The 20,947-nt window shown below is 41.9% G+C and overlaps 1 protein-coding gene across 4 annotated transcripts in view; it reads left to right on the top strand.

Moving 5' to 3' along the window:
- SNTB1 (syntrophin beta 1) overlaps window positions 1-20,947 on the top strand; it is a 276,291-nt gene that overhangs the window by 75,226 nt on the left and 180,118 nt on the right. Inside the window, exon 1 of one of the 4 annotated variants that reach the window (XM_047422127.1) lies at window positions 1-20,947. This exon is cut by the window's left edge and continues 43,263 nt beyond it. The exons of the other annotated variants lie outside the window; for them this stretch is intronic. The gene's annotated coding sequence lies outside the window, so the exon portion shown is untranslated. 4 annotated transcript variants of the gene reach the window in all.

The following is a 20,947-nucleotide window of genomic DNA, read 5'->3' as shown; positions in this document are numbered from 1 at the left end:
CTGTGGCTCAGGTGTGGTTATGTAATCAAAACGGCTGTGGGAATGAAATGCATTTAATTTTCCTCCAGCTTCCTGTTTCTAAGGCTTCAGTGTTTGAGTTCTGCCACACCAGCCTTTGCATATTAATAGACGGTTGGCAATCCCTGGGGAGCCCAGGGTGAGGGAGAGGTCCTCTGCAATAAAATCCAAGCTGGTTCAGTTGAAGGTATTTGTGAAGCCTTTTTATATCCACTTTGCTTCTTGACCTCCCAGCATACATCACGGAAATGTTATTTCCAGCACCTGAAGCTTTGGTCTCCAGCAAAACCAGCTCTTGATAGAATTCGGCAGTAAGCAGGTTCATGGTCATTGGCTCCTTGTTATTCTTTTTGGCCTCCTTGCCATACTTTTAGTTCTCTTCACTGATACCTGCCTGTTGCAGAGTCTTACGTTTGTCTAAGGTCTCTTCAGAATATCAACTTTTGTCCTGGGCCTTAGCTATTATCTCTCCAATTTTCCATGATTCACCAGTTGAGGGGTAATATGGGTAGGCTTTGTGTCCCCACCCAAATCGCATCTTGAATGGTAATCCCCATAATCCCCACGTGTCAAGGGAGAGGCAAGGTAGGGGTAATTGAATCATGGGGACAGTTCTGTTCTCATGATAGTGAGTTCTCATAAGATCTGATGGTTTTTATAAGAGGTTCTTCCCACTGTCACTCGGCACTTCTCCTTCCTGCCGCCTTGTGAAGAAGGTGCCTTGCTTCCCCTTTGCCTTCCACCATGATTGAAAATTTCCTGAGGCCTCTCCAGCCATGCTGAACTGTGAGTCAATTAAACCTCTTTCCTTTAGAAATTACCCAGTCTCGGGGAATTCTTTATAGCAGTATGAAAACAGACTAATAGAAGGGGATACTTTCAAAAGAACAGAGTTTACAATAAAAATACTTGGTGAACTATTGTGAGCCACCCATGGTGCTGCTTGAACCAACCTCTTCCTGCCTCCTGCCTGTTCTTCCTCCTTCCTAGGAGAATCCAAAGATGGCTCATTTGTTCCCTGGTGTATTAGTTTGCCAAGGCTACCAAAACAAAATACCACAGTCTGTATGGCTTGGCCAGCAGACATTTATTTTCTCATGGTTCTGGAGGCTAGAAGTCCAAGGTCAAGATTTGGTTTCTTCTGTGGCCTCTCTCCTTGGCTGCAGACGGCTGCCTTCTTCCTGGGTCTTCACATGGCCTTTCTCTGTGTACATATAACCTTGGTGTTTCTTTTATGTGTGTCCTAATAACACTTTATAATAAGGACACCAACCACGCAGATTAGATTAGGGACCACCCTAATGACCTCGTTTTAACTTAATCACCTCTTTAAAGAGGCTGTCTATCTCCAAATACAGTACAGTTCTGTGGTCCTGGGGGGTTAGGGCTTCAACATATAAATTGTGTAAGAGGTGGCACAACTCAGCCCACAACATCTTGTCACCTTGCTCCCTTCATGCCTTGCTGCCTCCCTTTTTGGTTTCTTTGGTGTCTTGTTTTCCATTCATCTGGTCTCACTTCAGGGCTCCAGGTCCCCTTATGGAAGTCCCTTGTGTCATCCTCCAAGCCACTCTCCTATTCTCCTGCAAAAATTTGCTGACATTCAAGCTGCCTTTGGGGTTTGTGTAAACTTTGTGGCATTGACCTCGGGTTGTCACATGCCCATAGCCTCATCTGCTGACTTGTGCTACAGCCCTCTTGCACCAGAGCAATGACACTTTTCATAAGACACAAAATGTACAGACTTGTATTCTCTTTCTTAAGTGCCCCTAAGTAGTTTGACTGCTTTTCCTGACTCATTCTTCCTATTTTATGTCCTCTCCTTCTTAGAACTTCACAAGTTCTTTTATGGGCTGGTTTGAAAAACAGTTGAGATGTGTTCACTTCCAAAGCTTTCTCATCCACTTATAGCCAGTCATCCTTTAACCATCTGGACCCTCTCAGAAATCTCTAAGCCGGAGGGCTCTTTTTCCTCTCAAGACTTTGCAGACAGTTAAAAGGCAGCCATCATCCAGTTTAGTGCTGGCCACATGACATAGATGCTGCAATTTTGCTCTCTTTCTGGAGGAGGTTCCACCAAGCTGTGTTTCAGCATGCATCATAGGGCTTCATCCTTCTGGTTCTGGGGTAAACCCTAGATTGAACCCTAGAATTGCCATCTAATTGTTCGATAACCCAGGAGCATTATTTCCATCGGTCTTATCCTCTTCATCTATAAAATGGTGATAATGACACCTACTTCTTAGTCTTGCTGTCAGACATGAAGTAAGGTGGCATAAAGCCTGGCGCATAGCAAGCATTCAATAAATGTTAGCTTTCGTGACAATTTTGCAAATAAAGCTTTTTTTTTTTTTTTGAGACAGAATCTCGCTCTGTCACACAGGCTGGAGTGCAATGGTGCAATCTTGGCTCACTGCAACCTCTGACTCCCGGGTTCAAGCAATCCTCCTGCCTCAGCTTCCTGAGTAGCTGGGATTACAGGTGCCTGCCACCATGCCTGGCTATAATTTTTTGTATTTTTAGTAGAGACAGATTTTCACCATATTGGCCAGGCTGGTCTCCACCTCCTGACCTCAGGTGATCTGCCCACCTCGGCCTCCCAAAGTGCTGGGATTACAGGCATGAACCATCGCGCCTGGCCTGCAAATAAAACTTTGTGACAGGCAGGAACTTCTTCGGTCATAAGCTTTCCTTCTCCTGTTTGTGCTCCTCTATAATTTGCATTAAACAAAATATTTATTGAATATCTGTTATCTTCTAAGCACTGCGTTAAGTTCTTTACATTTGTTGATCTTATTTAATTCCTCACCATAAGCCTTAAGGCTGATATTATTACTAACAAAACTTTACAATCCTGAGAATTTAGCCTTGAACAAGACAGATATTATACACTCCTGTCAGATCTTACAATACCGTGAGAAAGTCTTATGTTAAACTAATAATTATAATACAATAATTATAGCAGCCTACTCTTCCTTGAGGCAGTACCTACTTTCCTATAGTTATTACTGGATCTTGGAATTTAAATAGAGTTTCCTTACTATTGCTAAGCACTACATGTTGTGAAATTATATAATCAACTTTTGCATTCCTTAAGAGTCTTATCAATGAAAACCCTGAAATCTTAGAGATGGAAACAAATGGAAGGGATATGGTTGTTTGTTATGTCAGAGCTAATTATTTGTAATTACTTTGTAAGCAGGAGATAAATATTCATGCTTCATTCCTTCTTTTAGAAGGGACCAAGTAGTTTGGAAATCTCAGACAACATCCTGATAAAAGGCAGTTGAAGAAAGACAAATATTACTTGGTTGGCTTAATTGGAGTTTGGAAAAGATCTATTGCTTGGAGCTCCAGAATCATTGAGCCTGGGCCCTGTAATTCCACAGAGCAGTGTGCTGAACACAAAACCAATGTTGTATGGAGGAAAATGACACAGACGCCTATGCGTGGACCACCAATTGCCAGCCAAGGATACCTTTTGGTGCCCTCAATTTAAAACCACAGCCAGATTTTTAACATGGATAGACCTTCTCATTCATACAAAGTGATACCTCAAGTGTGATGACTCACTCTAGGAGGAGGAAAGAAACAGACTACTCAATGCTTCTGAAATAAATTATTGTAATATTTTACCATTTCGTGTTTGTTAGAAAGGCTATTTGTCTACCTCATACTTGGCATATACACGATTTGTACTCCCAGTCAGGGCCTGTTGAATGAAATTAGTTTCCTCTATCAATCATCCCTGTGATGTCTGTTACATGGACTAGCATTCTGGATACTACCTAATAGCAACAGTTCTAATGAAAATGGTCTAATAATATTGCTCCTTGCAACAGATGTGTTTTATCCCAAAGTATAAACTCCTTAAAGCATAGACAGGCAGAGTTGGCTCATGCCTGTTATGTAAGCTATCATGTCCTTTCTTTCTTTTCTTTCTTTTTGTTTTTTAGATGGTGTCTCATTCTGTCACCCAGGCTGGGCTGGAGTGCACAGCGTGATCTCAGCTCACTGCAACCTCCACCTCGTGGGTTCAAATGATTCTCCTGCCTCAGCTTCCCAAGTAGCTGGGATTACAGGCATGCGCCAACATGCCCAGCTAAATTTTTGTACGTTTAATAGAGACGAGGTTTCCCCATGTTGGCCAGGCTGGTCTTAAACTCCTGGTCTCAAGTGACTTGCCTACTTTGGCCTCCCAAAGTCTATCATGCCCTTTCTATTGAGTGGCCGCCTGCAAGTGTCTCAAAGAAATGTTTATTACCTATTTATAGAATATTTCTTTGTTCAAAATAGAAATGATTAACTCTTAACTGAAGTAAATGATATAATTACCTGAAGAACAGAAAGGAAACTTTTCATGCTCAAGAAGGCAGAACCCACATCCTCAGAGTGAGGTTTCTGCTTTTCTGGTTAAACATGAGTATTAACTGGAAAAGTCTACTTTAAAGCATGAGCTCTGGTAGGCACAGCTAACATTATTTTGGACACCTTCACTTTATTTTAATCATAAACTGTAATGCTGGCTTCCTCTTGGTTGTTCAATATTGCAGAAATGAGTCGAGTTAACCTACAAGTTGTAGGAAGCATTTGATGACAGAAAGAGACTTGAAAAAGTAGCCGATTTACCCGCAAGTCATATCAGCACTTTGAAGAAACAAACACTGCCACAGTACCCTGTTAAAAGTGTCAGTCATAAAGCTCTTTACAAAGGTATTGTGCCTCCAACTTTTAATTTTCATACCCTCATGGAGAGATAAGCATCCTCAAAAGAGCCCAATTGCCTTATAGGGCTTTCAAAGGAAGCTCCAGTTTTGAAACACTGCTCACTGCTTATACACTACCCCCATTCCCATGAAATAAAATTGTCATACTAGTCCCCTTTGCAGAAGTTATATAGCATTCGGGAATACTGAATGTTTTCTGTTGAAGTTCATCTTAGAGAGCTTAAAAATTCAACAAGTCATAATCATAACCCAGAATTAAGCCCATGGTATACAGCAACAGCTGGGGTCTGGGTGATAGAGAGGAACGAGTTCTGCCGTAGACATCTGCAGGTTTGGCTACTGGTTCTGGGTCTGGTACTCACTTGCTAGGTGATTCAGGGCCAGTCTTCTCTCAGTGAGCCCCAGTTTTCTGCCCCTGCCATGTAAAATGAGCCTGATATCTGCATGATCACCAAGATGTTTTCCTGCACTGACTTCCTATGACTCTGGGCAAGGCAGGGGAGCTAACCTTTTCTAATGAAATATTAAGCAATCAGGACTAGACGCCTTGGAAGTCATCTCTTCAAGCCCAGTCCTTCCAGGCTTTCATCAGCTGACCCAGAGAGGTGATATTGTTCCTATTGATCCTGTTTCTAATGCTCCGCCATTGACTAGCTTTCACATCTTTCACTCTCTCTGAAAGTAAAGAGCTGCTGCCCCTTTTTACAGAACACGTGTGTTTCCTGTATATTGTGGTTGTATACTTTCTTTGCTCTGACTTGTGAAAAGAAAGAAAAAACAAGAGAGCTAAGAATTCTTTTTCTTTTCTTTCCTCTTGAGCAAGCTGAAATGGGCAGGGTATAATTTAACTTGGATTTATAAAACGGCAGTTTATTCATTTAACTGAAAATACTTGTACTTTTTCTTCTTAGCTATTATTTATTATTTGTTTAATTTTTTATTATTATACTTTTTTGAGACAAAGTCTCACTCTGTTGCCCAGGCTGGAGTGCAGTGGTGCTATCTTGACTCATGGCAACCTCCACCTTCTGAATTCAAGCAATTCTCCTGCCTCAGCCTCCCAAGTAGCTGGAATTACAGGTGCTTGCCACCACACCCGGCTAATTTTTGTATTTTTAGTAGAGACCGGGGTTTCACCATGTTGGCCACGGTAGTCTCAAACTCCTGACCTCAACTGATCCACATGTCTCGGCCTCCCAAAGTGCTGGGATTATAGGTGTGAGCCACTGCACCCGGCCACTATTATTTATTAAGCAAACCCATGGCAGGCACTGTGCTAAACTCTCTCCCTAAAGATACACTATTTAAAAGGTTCAAATCACCATGAAAAATAGGTGTTATTGTTCCCACTTTACAGAAGATGAGATTAAAGTTCAAAAATATTAAGTGACTTGCTTAGGGTTACTAAGCGATGGACCTGAGATTCCGATTCATCCCAAAGATCCTAATCACAATATGTTTAAATCATTTTGAAGAGACGTAAGAAGGTGTAATGCTTTCATTTGTAAAACAGTTTGTTGTAAAATCAAACTCATTTTGAGGTATGTTTTAAGCTTACCACTTGAATATTTAAATTTCATTAGAACTGGGCCTGGCACAGTGGCTCATACCTGTAATCCCAGCACTTTGGGAGGCCGAGGAGGGTGGATCACCTGAGGTCAGGAGTTTGATACCAGCCTGGCCAACATGGCGAAACCCTACTCTACTAAAAATACAAAATACTCTACAAAAATACTAAAAATGCAAAAATTAGCCGGGCATGGTGGCGTGCACCTGAAATCCCAGCTACTCGGGAGGCTGAGACAGAAGAATCACTTGAACCCAGGAGGCTGACGTTGCAGTGAGCTGAGATTTGTGCCACTGCACTCCAGCCTAGGCGACAGAGCAAGACTCTGTCTCAAAAAAATAATCATAATAAAAATAAAAAATAAATAAAATTTCATTAGAACTGTTCCTGGCATAGGATAGGTGGGTACTTAATTTGGTTGAACAGATACTTGGATTTATAAAAATGAGATTTATGTGTGGGACATCACTAACGGGTTGTTGGCAGAATTATCAGTGCACCTGTTGTATGTTGAGTGAGACAACTGCTTTCGCAGGCTCTGTGTTTGCAGTTGACCTGATGCCACAGTCATGTGCATGGTGGCTTTAGGAGCGGCAGTTCTGGTAAAGTCTTGGTACACTAACTCACACTCTGTCCTTAAAAATATGTTAGTGGAAAGACTGCATCTAACAAACTGAGTGTCCCTTTTGGCATGTTTTTCAGTGGCATCACTATCCTGTGAGGTCGATGGTAAATTAGGCATAGTCCTTCTTCTGCTCTATCAGCTGCTCTGAAAGCAACAGGACTCTCATTTTCAGGCTCTTAGACAAACTTGGATTCTTGTAGGCAGAGCATAGAGCTATTAATCAAAATGACAGCAATTGTAATTATAGCTACATAGGGAAATATTATTTTTAAAGTTAATTTTGAATAATCAATGCATGCATGGAGTAGAGAATTCAACAAGTACCAAAACTCTCACCCTCAGCCCTCACTTCCATTCACCCAGACAGTCTCTTCCAGAATATTTCAGAGATATCTAGACATATACAAGCACATATATATTCGTACATTATTTTTTCTCACAAGGAGTAATAACATATTTGAACAATTCTGTACATTGCTTGGAAAATAAGATTTTCTTTAAAGAGTGTCCAGCACATACAGACCTGTTAATAAATATTTTGTCAAAACCACAGTGAAATACCATCTCACATCTGTCAGAATGACTATTATTAAAACGTCAGGCCAGGTGCAGTGGCTCACGCCTGTAATCCCAGCACTTTGAGAGGCCAAGGTGGGCGGATCACTTGAGACCAGGAGTTAGAGAGCAGCCTGGGCAACATGGCTGTAGAAACCACGCCTCTGAAACAAAATACAAAAATTAGCCGGGCCTAATGGCTTGTGTCTGAAGTCCCAGCTACTTGTAAGGCTGAGGTGGGAGGATCACTTGAGCCCATGAGGCAGAGTTGCAGTGAGGCAAGATAGCACCAGTGCACTCCAGCCTGGGGACAGGGTGAGACCCCATTTCAAAAAAAAAAAAAGGTCAGTAAACAACAGATGCTGGAGAGGCTATGGAGAAAAGGTAACATTTATACACGGTTTGTGGGAATGTAAATTAGTTCAGCTGCTGTGGGAAGTAGTTTGGAGATTTCTTAAATAACTTAAAATAGAACTACCACTTGACCTAGAAAACAAAATGTTCTACCAAAAAGACACATGCACTCATATGTTCATTGCAGCATTATTCACGATAACTAAGACATGGAATCAACCTAGGTGCCTATGAACGGTGGACAGGATAAAGAAAATGTGGTACATATACATCATGGAATACTATGCAGTCATAAAAAAGAATGAAATCATGTCCTTTGCAGCAACATGGATGCAGCCAGAGGCCATTATCCTAAGTGAATTAATGCAGGAACAGAAAACCAAATGCTGCATGTTCTCACTTATAAGCGGGAGCTAAACATTGGGTGATTTTGGACATAAAGATGGCAACAATAGACAATGGGGACTACTAGCCGTGGGAGGGAGGGAGTGGGGACAAGGGTTGAGAAATCAACTGTTGGGTACTATGCTCAGTACCTGGGTGACAGGATCATTTATATCCCAAACCTCAGCGTCACACAATATACCCAGGTAACAAGCCTGCCTGTGTACCCCCTGAATATAAAACAAATTTTGAAAAAGGAGAAAAAATAATAAATATTTTGTTTAAAAAATACTTCACAGCCGGACACAGTGGCTCATGCCTGTAATCCCAGCACTTTGGAAAGCAGAGGCGGGCAGATGACTTGAGCTCAGGAGTTCAAAACCAGCCCGTGGTGAAACCCCATCTCTATCAAAAATACACCCCTGTAGTCCCAGCTACTCAGAAGGCTGGGGTGGGAGAATCACTTGAGCCTGGGAGGTGGAGGTTGCAGTGAGCCAAGATCGTGCCACTGCACTCCAGGCTGAGCGACAGAGCAAGACCCTATCTCAGGAAAAAAAGAAAAAATAATAAATAAATGAAAAATACAAAATAAATCACAAAGGCAACGTGCAAGAGGGAAAGGGTGGGAGAAGGAATATCTGCATAGTAATACCGTACCACAGTTACACTCAGAAAGACTTGCCTAGGAAGCCAGGGTTCTAATCTTGTGTGAATTCTTCCGGTCTAGGATAGGAAGCTATATGGTATAGCAAAAAGACCATAGGGCTTGGAGTCAAACTCACACAGAATGTGTTCCATATTTATTAGCCCAGCAATCAATGAACTGAAAATTCTCATAGGCAACCACACAGCCTGGTGCTGAGCACATGGTAAATTTTACACAGGAATGATAAAAACTTCTGCTCTTTCATGAATCTTCTCTACAGTAGTTTGGCTAAATTTCAACTTGGGTCTTGTTGCAATAGTCTACATATGATGAAAAAACACCTGGTGGTAGTTTTCCTCTTCTCTGAAAGCAATGGCTAGCATTTATGGAGTATTACTATTGCTAGGCACTGTACGAAGCACTGCGCCAATGTGATCACATTTAATACTCATCACGACCCTTCAAGGTAGTGACTATTCTTGCTATTATCTTTAGGCCAGAAACTGAAGAGAAACATAAGATGACTTGCTCACTGTTCCCTCAAGTAAATAGACTCTCATCTGGCTGACCCCAACGTGTCTGCTCCTCACAGTCCTTGCCTGCCTCTTGTCTGCATCAAATGGTCTTATTCTCTGTAGACATAACCCTTGGACACCCCAGAAGAGAAACGGAGTTATTACCACCTCAGCTCAGTTCTGGCACACACCCCTAAAGCTTTAGGCAGCTTTTTAATGCATGACAACTACAAATAACAGGACAAGGCAGCCTTTGACCCCACATGTCAGAGATCCTGTATTATTCTTTACTGCATTGGCCAGCAGGCAAGAGTTTTTACTGAGGTGCATTTTCTGGTTTCTCTTACTTCTGTCTCCCAACCAACCTATCCTGGAGAACATCCTTGCCTTCTAATCTCTTGCCATCACAGCAGGCTTCCTATAATTCCTGCAGCATAATGCAAAAAGAAAGGAGGGAAAAAAGTGTTGACTGAGATTTCTGGCAAACATTATTTAAGCTGAAGAGGAGCACTGCAGATTGACTATTAGACACTACTAGACTATTAGTGCTAGTAATGCCAGGATGCTTTCTTGTCAGCATTCCAGTTTCAGATTTTTGTGACTGTTTAATTACCAACACTCTCCCACATTGCCAGGATGTGCCTCTTCAAAACCCTACTGGAAGTTCAGTGTCGATTACAACCAGCTACATGCACTTCCTACATTGTAGATCTCTAATAGCTTTCTGTATTCTATGGCACTAGCAGAAATAGTCCAGATAATGGCTCTAAATTTCCCTTTTAAATCTTGTATTTTTTTCCCATGTACCATGAAAACAGAACTGTTTTCTTTCTGCTGAAGAGTAATTTTCCTGGTAATGATATTTAAACAGGAGTCTATTTCAAAATGTCCACATTCATCTCACATGTTATCTGAAGATTCATTCATAATTTTGTTTAGCCATTTGAAAAATTGTGGGAATTACATATTTGATGTCAATGTTGAAAGAGGAGTTTAATCCACAGAGGGTTGAGTTTGTCAAGAAAATAGCATTGCTACAGAAATAGGCGGTTCTTTTGTGGAGAAACAAATTTAATCCTTATCCCAAAAAAAAAATGTATCCTCTCCAGTCAGCAATGTCTCTGAGAATGTCTAGGAAACTGGAGAAGATAATCTTAGTGCTAAAATAATATTCAGGTTTTTAAATGGTATCTAAGGATTTCTTCAGAAATGTATGTGTACAAAAATAGATTTTTCAAAACTGAATAAACATAGTTCTTAAACAATGATGAGGAAAATAGTTTTGCTTATACGGCACCAGCAAATGGGGAAAAATTTATTTCCTGTTGAATACATGGGAGAAACAGAAATCCTCATTGAGGTGGGAAGGGAGAGAGGCAGTCGTTTCAATATATTGAGCACTGAACACCCAGGCTTACCTCCCACATGGTTATCTGTCAGATTGATCAGATTGGTTTGTAACAAGTCAACAGTGATAACTTTATGTTTATGGTGGCAGTGTTCTAATTTATTATCAGTACTAATGATAATTATCAACTTCATACATTTTGCTAATGATATTGAGAAATTTTCAAATAGCAACTCTTAAGAAAGCTCTCCTGTCTGGGGAGATGAAGGAGTTGCCTTAAGGTAAGAATACAGATTAGACAGTATCTTAAAAGTCCTTTCGGCCCTATGTTACGATGAGGAATATTGTGTATGGTGGAACACTTCCACGGGCATAATTTAATCTGTCCTTTCTCTGTTGTAGATACTGCTGCCACCAACTCATTTCCTTCAATCCTCTTTTATTAGGTTGGTGCAAAATTAATTAATTGTGGTTTTTGCCATTACTTTCAAAAACAAACAAACAAAGAAAGTGGCTTCCAAAGCTGAAATCTCACAGGAGATTAGAGCTTTGTACACAACATTGTGAGCTAATTTGCAGCTGAATCTTTAAAACCTCGTGCTTCCTTTCCATCAAATTACTCAAAGTTTGGGTTCCCCTAAAAGCAGAGTCTATTTGAGACAAGGACCTAGGTGCAGGTAGTTGATTTCGGAGGTGATCTCAAGAAGTGGAATGAAGGGCAGAGAGATTGATACAGGGAAGAATGGAGAGTCCTTAAAGAATGAATACTGAGCTGGTTACCACTTTGGGCAACTGGGGTGGAATCTGACTGGGGACAATTTGAAGAATTGTTCAGAATGCACTTAGAATAATGATGCCCCCCACCTCCCATAGGTTTGAAGGCTGGAGCATTATCCAACAACCCCTCACCTCGCCCATCCTCTTTCCACTTACCTCCTTCTTCCCAGCCTCACATTAATTCCTCCATACTTGGCCAAGTGGGTTCTGCAGTTTTGCAGAAAGTTCTGAAGCAGAGGAGCTGAGGAGCCTTAAGACAGGAAGTCCTCACTGGTTAAAGGAACTGCTCATCACATCTGCAGCTAAAATAAGATGTGGTTCAAGTCAGGAGTGGTCAAAGGCATGGGCCATGGAATCCCATGAGCAGCTGCCACATTTTTAATTGCTTGTACTCCCCTACCCTGCATCTCCACCTCCTAGCCTACTTCCCTCCTGTTCACACTCTGCCTTGTGCATTTCACCCACAGTCTTCCATGGCCCCTCTAAGTCAGCTTGCCTCTCTCCTCATCCCCAGCTCCATCTCCCTCCTGCATGCCTAGTTCAACGGTGCAATTCTGCCACCCTGGCTTTTCTTCCTTCCTCTCTAGCTAAAATCATCTTTGTTTAGAAGCCTCATCTTTCTTATCTGGCTTTCCATTTCATTAAAACAACAAAAACAAATGTAGTTTCCAAAGGTCAAATGTTACATTAGATTAGAGATTTGTACACAACCTTGTGGGCTAATTTGCAGCTGAATCTTTAAAATCTGGTGCTTCCTTTCCATCAAACTACTCAACCCTTCTTCCCCACTCCATGTTCCCTAAAAGGGAATCTCAACTAAAAATAGCTTTCAGTGTTTGAAAGCAGTAATGTGGTGTGGGCTGAGGAGCTCAACTTGTGCATGCGTGGAGACAACTTTATTCTGACAGTCTCAGGAGACACATACCCCTTACCTGGCAGGTGACACAAGATGAAGGGCTCTGTGTTCTCTTGCAGCACTGAAGGCATGTAATGGAACTAATTAAAGCAGGCAGGCCTGGGCCCATGGCTCTCACTCATCTCAAAGCCCAAACTTTGTCAGAGTGTACAAGAGCTGGGACTGGCCATATTACCCATGTGTTGGGCAAGGTCCCCTGAAACAGGGCTCCTTTGCAGAGTACCCAGTTTGAACCTACAGCAAAAAGGCTGGCACACCTCCAAAGCCTTCTGCTCTCTTCCATAGGTTTCTTCTGTAGCTTCAGAGACCGAAAAGATCTTGGCAGAGCCTGAAGTAATCTTTTTCTTTCATGGAGCTGAGTTTCAGACTCTCTAGCTCTAACTCCATTAAGCATGCCTCCCTTGAGTTCCCAACACAGTCTTTGCTTCAATAGCATTGCTAATTGGGATGTAGTATAATTCATCTGTTCAAATGTCTGCTGCCTTCCCCACTAGACTGGAAACACCCTGTGGCAAGAGCCACTTCCTAGCAATAACAATAGCTGCCGTTTACTGGACATTTAATATGTGCTAGGTATTGTCCTGGGGTTCTAAACACATTTCATGTTCTTTATGGTAGTCTTGCTAGGCAGATATTATCATCCCCTTTTGTAAATCAGAAAATTTGAGAGAGGTCAAGTATGCCCAGGGATATACAGCTTTTGAAGGACAGAAGAGGAATTTGGGCCCAGTCGCCTATCTATCTGAACCAGTGCACCTAACTGGTGAGCTGTACAGCCCCTTCACTGCTTCAGTATATGTGTCTCCTGGCCAAGAAACCAACTAGCAGTGAATGAAGGGATATACAGAGTGGGCTTAGCAAACTCTAGGCTCATCTCACACATTTATTTACTTTGTGCATTTGGAAATAATGCCAATCACACTCATCCATCTACACTGAAGAAATGCCACGTTTTTTGCCTTCAAAAAATAATTTTAATTGGCTTTTTGTATAGTTTGTAGCATTGGCATATTTACTTTTAGTCTTTTCTAAGTATAAATCGTATGTAGTATATATGTGTATATGTACGTATGAATATGCAATATATATATAATATGTCATATACAGCTCCTTTAAACCTGCTTTGTTCATATAGCAACAACATAACACCATGAGTATTCTTCCAATAAAAGTATCATTGCTGCAATATAGTCAGAACAAGTGTTGTGATTAGATAATCAGATTGGAAGGGAATTTTGAAGTCATTACACACCTTTATCTAAACTAATGGTCTCCATTGGAACAGAACAGAGGACTCAGAAATAACACCGCACATCTACAACCATCTGATCTTTGACAAACCTGACAAAAACAAGAAATGAGGAAAGTATTCCCTATTAAATAAATGATGCTGGGAAAACTGTCTAGCCATATGTAGAAACCTGAAACCTGAAAGAAAGCCATATGTAGAAACCCTTCCTTACACCTTATACAAAAATTAATTCAAGATGGATTAAAGACTTAAATGTTAGACCTAAAACCATAAAAACTCTAGAAGAAAACCTAGGCAATACCATTCAGGACATAGGCATGGGCAAGGACTTCATGTCTAAAACACCAAAAGCAATGGCAACAAAAGCCAAAATTGACAAATGGGATCTAATTAAACTAAAGAGCTCCTGCACAGCAAAAGAAACTACTGTCAGAGTGAACAGGTAACCTACAGAATGGGAGAAAATTTTTGCAATCTACTCATCTGACAAAGGGCTAATATCCAGAATCTACAAAGAACTTAAACAAACTTACAAGAAAAAAACAACCCCATCAAAAAGTGAGCAACGGATATGAACAGACACTTCTCAAAAGAAGACATTTATGCAGCCGAAAGACACATGAAAAAATGCTCATCGTCACTGGTCATCAGAGAAATGCAAATCAAAACCACACTGAGATACCATCTCACACCAGTTAGAATGGCAATCATTAAAAAGTCAGGAAACAACAGGTGCTGGAGAGGATGTGGAGAAATAGGAACACTTTTACACTGTTGATGGGAGTGTAAACTAGTTCAACCATTGTGGAAGACAGTGTGGCGATTCCTCAAGGATCTAGAGCTAGAAATATCATTTGACCCAGCAATCCCATTACTGGGTATATACCGAAAGGATTATAAATCATGCTACTATAAAGACACATGTGCACGTATGTTTATTGTGGCACTATTCACAGTTCACTATTCACTATTCACAGAACCAACCCAAATGTCCAGCAATGATAGACTGGATTAAGAAAATGTGGCACATATACACCATGGAATACTATGCAGCCATAAAAAAGGATGAGTTCATGTCCTTTGCAGGGACATGGATGAAGCTGGAAACCATCATTCTCAGCAAACTATCACAAGGACAGGAAACCAAACACTGCATGTTCTCACTCATAGGTGGGAATTGAAAAATGAGAACACTTGGTCACAGGGTGGGGAACATCACACACTGGGGCATGTCATGGGGTGGGGGGCAGGGGGAGGGGATAGCATTGGGAGAAATACCTAATGTAAATGACGGGTCGATGGGTGCAGCAGGCCAGCATGGCACATGTATACCTATGTAACGAGCCTGCACATTGTGCACATGTACCCTAGAACTTAAAGTATAATAAATAAATAATTTAAAAATGAAAAAAATAAACTAATGGTCTCAAAGTTATTTTTAACTATGACTCATTTTTTTTCCCTAAGGAAACCTATATAAAACATCAATAGCTAGCATAAATAAAAAATGGCATTATGGTTATATTTATATGAATTTATTTTGTAAGTACAGCTTTGTCACATTTACTCATTAAAAAGCCAGCCAATTAGAGTAGTAAGGCTCATTCAACTAGGCAGCAATTTTTAACTGGAAGTTAGGATAACAGTTGAAGTTTTATGTAAGCCTCAGTATCTTGTTTTCATTGTGTAGGAGTCAGGGGATCATGGTCCACACAGGTATTTGTAACATCATTGTTTAACAGATGCCCCTGCAATTAGCTAAATACATGCCACAGGAGAAGCTTGATTTCAAGTCTGCACAAAAATGAGTTAACCTTGTAGCAGCACCCAAACTTTGGTGTTCCAACATATCCAAGTTTTATATAAGACACATTTAAATGCATGGGTGCCACTTTTTCTTACCATTTTTTAAATAGTCAAAAGTAAATTCTCATTAAAAAGTGAAATCTTAACCAAATATGTGTATAATCCCTTAAAGCATACTTTATAGAAGTCTAGGGTTCCATGACACCCTAGGGTTTTCTGAAATTCAGCTAGGAAATCACTGATTTAGCTTTCCCTAAAAGTCTAACACATTAATAAAAGCTGCAAAACAGGGAGGCTACCCAGGCTGTCTCAGGAATACGCCCAAGTATTTAAATCCCCTAATGATAGTCAGAAAATTCCTTCTCATGCCTGAGTTGAGTTTCCTAAGCTGGTGCCTAAGCTTAGCATAGTATATAGAAGGCTCTTGGAAAAGACTTGTTGACTGACAGATGGAGGCTCCTGTGGAAGGGTAAGGTAGGTGGTTGGCCACTCTTCTTCTCACCAAATAAATATGATCTAGTCTCCCACTCACTCCTGACTTGGTACTGTGATTACTACGATTAGGCAGCATCATTTTCTGATTAGCCCAACATCCTGCCAAAACAGTAATGACTTCTGCAAGTCACCTCTGCATAGAAAACATTTGGCTTGATACATTTTTACAGTGTGGGTTTGCAAAAGATACTGATCAATGCTCTTCATAGCACTTATGTGAAGCTCTAATACTTCTCGCCATAAGTCAGTATAGGATAGAGGTCTTTGCACTGGGTCAGGCAGAAAGGGAAAGCCGGTAATTTGAGTTGTCCACTTGAGCCAGTAATTGAATGTTCAATAGTTGTCTGGGGAGTTGGATTCATTTGCGGCAGATGAAAACAGGAGATGGTAGGCAGATCTGAGGCATACGGAAAAGACTCAGTTGTCAGAATAGGGTCATAGGGCCAGAGAGTCAGGAGGACTTGATACTCACTGGCCATGCATTGTGCTGAAGGCACGTAAATCTATCCTTTCTGGCCCACATTAGACTCGTGTGAGAACAGGGAGGATACTGGGCCTTCAGACAGGGGCCAAGGAGGGAGCTGGAGGGAGAGGACAGCCTCACCATCTGGGGTGCCAGGGAAGGTCTAATATGCTCAGGATTGGGCTGCCCCAAAGTGCATATGGGAATTTTCTCCACAGTCTTATGACATAGGTTATTTATGTTAGATAGTGAGCTTTTCCTCATCTTGCTGCCAGCCCCTTTGCCCTAACCCATGTATTTACTGCATCACCGATCACTGGAAGGTTTGATGGCTGCCCAGGCATTTAAGAGAATTTGGAAGCTGTGTTCTAATCCTGGAAGGAAGTATAAAATTTTAATTGAACTATGTAGACAGTTTGAAGTCATTTTACAAATAGGAAGGCGAGGCTTTTTGAGCCTTGCCCGCCATTCATGTAAGTGGAATTCTTCATGAGAGACAGAAAGGTTAGGTTCATTCCATGGCATGAGGACTGATGTGAGCAAAGGTGAAATCTGGGAGAGTAAGTGTAGTGAGTAGAGCAGACACCAGCACACCATGTTGGCTTTTCTGTCTTCCCTGTCTCTCTTTCCCTACATCCTGGTTTGTGCTTCCTGGATTCACCTCTCAAATAAACCACCTGCACTCAAGTCCTTGTCTCGGGTTCTGCTTTTGGGGGAAGCCAAACTAAGACAGCGAGTTCAACCTTCTTCAGCTGAACGTCATAGCTTTGGGGGAGAATTACATGGAGCAATGATGGATGGCAAGGATACCCATCAGATCAGCCATCTCAACCTGGGCAAGCTAGACAGACTCAGACCAACCACTTGTCCATGCTTCTAAGAAACTAGGAGTGTGCCTGAATAGAAAATGGAGTTTATTCAATAGTATTAACTCACTCAATCACAAGGTCCCACAACAGGTCATCTGCAAGATGAGGAGCAAGGAAGCCAGTCCAAGTCCCAAAGCTGAAGAACTTGAAGTCCAATGTTTTAGGGCAGGAAGCATCCAGCACTGGAGATAGATGTAAGCTGGGAGGCTAAGCCAGTCTGACCTTTTCATGTTTCTCTGGCTGCTTTATATTCTAGCGACACTGGCAGCTGATTAGATGGTGCCCACCCAGATTAAGGGTGGGTCTGCCTTTCTCAGCCCACTGACTCAAATGTTAACCTTCTTTGGCAACACCCTCACAGACACACCCAGGATCAATACTTTGCATCCTTCAATCCCATCAAATTGACACTCAATATTAGCCATCACACCAGGTTAATGAGTTCCTTCTCTATTCAGTCCCTCTGCTGTTGGACAAAACTTTTACCTTGCTGTTTGCTTCTGAGATAGTGAGAGTTTGGGTTTGAAGCAGATGCTGATCAGTGACCTTCACCACACTTTCCTAGTCACAGTATCACAGTCGCTCTGAACCTACCAAGTCAAGCCAAGAGACAGCATCTTTCCTTTTTGTGTGTGTGTAGAATTGACACTCTTGCCTTAGTGTTTGTAACATTTGGAGTTTATAGGGAACCACAGAGAGAAAACATACTCTATTTTGATTTCTTCCTGGTAGTTTTACTTTCTCTAAACTTTTTGTTTGGTTCAGTAGCAGCAAAGTACCTCCTACTCAGCCCCCCAACACCCTCACTTCCCACCTGTCAAACCACCCCAAGTCCTTATTTCCCTTCCCCTTCCGGAAGCAGTTAGGAGGAAGGGGGTGTGGTCAGAACCAGACCCACTTCTAATATTTTCAGAGCCCAAAACATGAGTATGAATGGAGGTCCATATACTATAGGTCTAAATATGTTAACATTATCAATCAAATTTACAAACATGTAATAAAATATATTTGGCCACCTTCTTTGCCAGAGCCTAATGAAGAGAAGTTGGTAGGAGACCAGGGGGAGAAGTGGCCCTGGCCTGAAGCCCATCCCCTCTTCTCTTCCCACCCCTGGTTCCATAGGCACTGAAACATGAATCCTGCTCACATGTGTGGACAGCTCAGCTCGCAAGCTCTATCCTTGCCCTGCCCCTGTAAACGTGGCTCCCTTTGCCCTCCTGGAGCCTAGAGGTTTTCTGAAAGCAGTGGCACAGTGACCCTCAGGAGGACAGACAGGGAGGACAGATGCTCACAGGCCCTGGGCCCAAGCTTGGAGCCTTTGCATCCTTCAATCCAATCAAATCAACACTCAGTATTAGCCATCACACCAATTAGACAATTCCAGGGTGCAGAAGGGGAAGGTAGGCTCCAATTGGGCCTATCCCCTTGGCCTGGAGGACTCTCCCTTACATGGGAAGAAAGACAGCCAGCAAAATACCAGAGCACAGCCCTCTAAGAATAAAAGGGACAAAGGCCTCCCTAGCCTGGTTCAAAGGGCAGGACTGCTCAGGGCTGATGGACGAGACACATCTAGTACCTCTTTTCTTCCATCTCAAGCCTGTCCGTGGCACTACTGTATGGCTCTTTTTTGAGGAAAGAGGGCTTTGTTTTTCATTTTATTTTTGCTTTCTCTAAACATGCCCTGCAGATCCTTCCTTTAACAGTGTGGGGACTGAACAAACAGCTTCTGACCCTGGCCCTGTTTCTGTATCTGGAGCAACACAATAGAACATCTGCCTTGACCTGGACTGCCTTCCACTCTGCACATCATTCTTGGCCATTTCCCATCTGTGCCAGGAGAGGGGTGAAGCTGTCAATACAAATCAACTGTATGGACTCCTGCCCGTTCTCTGCTGCAAGGGCTGGAAGCTTCCCCGTGATGAAGAAAGGCAACCTCAGTGCTTCGGAGGCTTAGCACTATTTGCCCACCCCAGAATCCATCAGGAAAACTGAAATTATAGAGTACATTGTGGCAAAGTTGGAACAAAACAACAACTGATGAGCATGAGTTTTTGTCACATTCCCTAGGCCACTGGAGTCACCCAAGCATTCCTTCAGCTTGGGCTGTCTCTCTGCAAAGGGCTCTGTGTTCTAGCTCTCGACTCGTGCAGTGGGAGAAGAGTCTTAATATACAGCGGCCCATTTGAGTGGTGTTCAATGGGCTGCACCACAGACTCTGGGATAGCAGGTGATATTTCATATCGCCTAGGCAGCACTGAAAGGAACATTAAGCTGCATTTCCATTATCAGTGAGGTCCGTAGTGGCCTGAGGATCAGAATCCGAGCATTCTAATCAGTCTGCCTAATATTTTCCTGGGCAGCCTCCTACAAGCCTATGATTAGTTTGCAGAGGAAGTCTGAACCACCTTTCTTAAGGGAAAAGTGATCTGCAAGAATGCCTGGAGCGTGATGAGCCAAGGAGAGATTCAGTGACAAGTTAAAGGGCCTTGTGCTATGAATAAAAGGATCACTTCTGGGGAACTTAAGGATTTCTGCAGAGAGGAGTAGCTCATTTGGCTGGAGTACTAAAATCCATGAAAACTGCTGAAAGACCAGTAAGGAAATTTCTGTTCAGAGAGACCAAGATTCTAGTCTTAGCCTTTGCCCTCATGTGAATTATTTTGCAGATCCCAAACCACCTAATACTGCTAGAAAAAAATCTTCTATTTCCCATGTTAAATCATGAAATTTGATAAGTTTAGGTTGAAGAGAAAAGCAAGGACATCTAAACTGAATACCAGTGTGATGCTTAGTTCCTCTGCAAGGCACCGCCAAGCTGACTTTCATCCTCCATGGGACACCTTCAAGGAGAGGGAACTCACTGCTTGTAGCTGTGGACATTTCTGATTACTAAAAGTTCTCATTAGTATCAAAATCCTGAACATCAAGTGTCTAAAAACAGAGACCTATATCTTAACCTCTAGCATCCTCCCCAAGTGAGGGAGGATGTGTATTTGCAAAGTCAGCTGCTGGAATAGATGTCATACTGCAAGAATTGACCTTCACAAAAATAGAATATTTTGCCTAGAATGTTGGCTAAGGAATCAGTTTTGTTTTGTGTGTGGCTGTGTGAAGAAAATAACATTTTATTATGTGAATAGTTTCAATAGGGATAAAAATTTCAGGTTACTAATGCATGAAAACACTTTGAAGTATATTTCAAGTGAAAATTGTCAATAATCATGATAATAATAATGGAACTCTGCACAGAATATATTCTTCTCAGGCAGTCAGTCTGTGGCAGACATGCTTGAGGTAGAAAAATTTATGCCTGCATTCATTCATTCATTTATGTATACATTCATCAAATATTTATTGACTACCAACTATGGGCTCAGCCCTAAAACGACCGGGATGAAAGACTGGAGTTTCTTCCCCTAAGAAGGAGCCCAGAATCTAGTGGGAAAGATGATGATGTAAACCACTCATTATGACACTGAGAAAAGATGCCAAGGGTTCTGTGGAACTCAGGATGTGCACCTGGATTAACTCAGAAGGAATTTCCCAGGGTAAATGGGACATCGCAGATTGATATCAGCTGGTTCTCTTCATTGCCTCCTCCAGAATCTCCAGTTCCCTGATGAGTTAGAG

This window comes from Homo sapiens, chromosome 8, assembly GCF_000001405.40.
Source record: "Homo sapiens chromosome 8, GRCh38.p14 Primary Assembly".
NCBI lineage: Eukaryota > Metazoa > Chordata > Mammalia > Primates > Hominidae > Homo > Homo sapiens.
The sequence above is the reverse complement of the archived record's forward strand: the minus strand, read 5'-3'. Positions and strand labels throughout refer to the sequence as shown.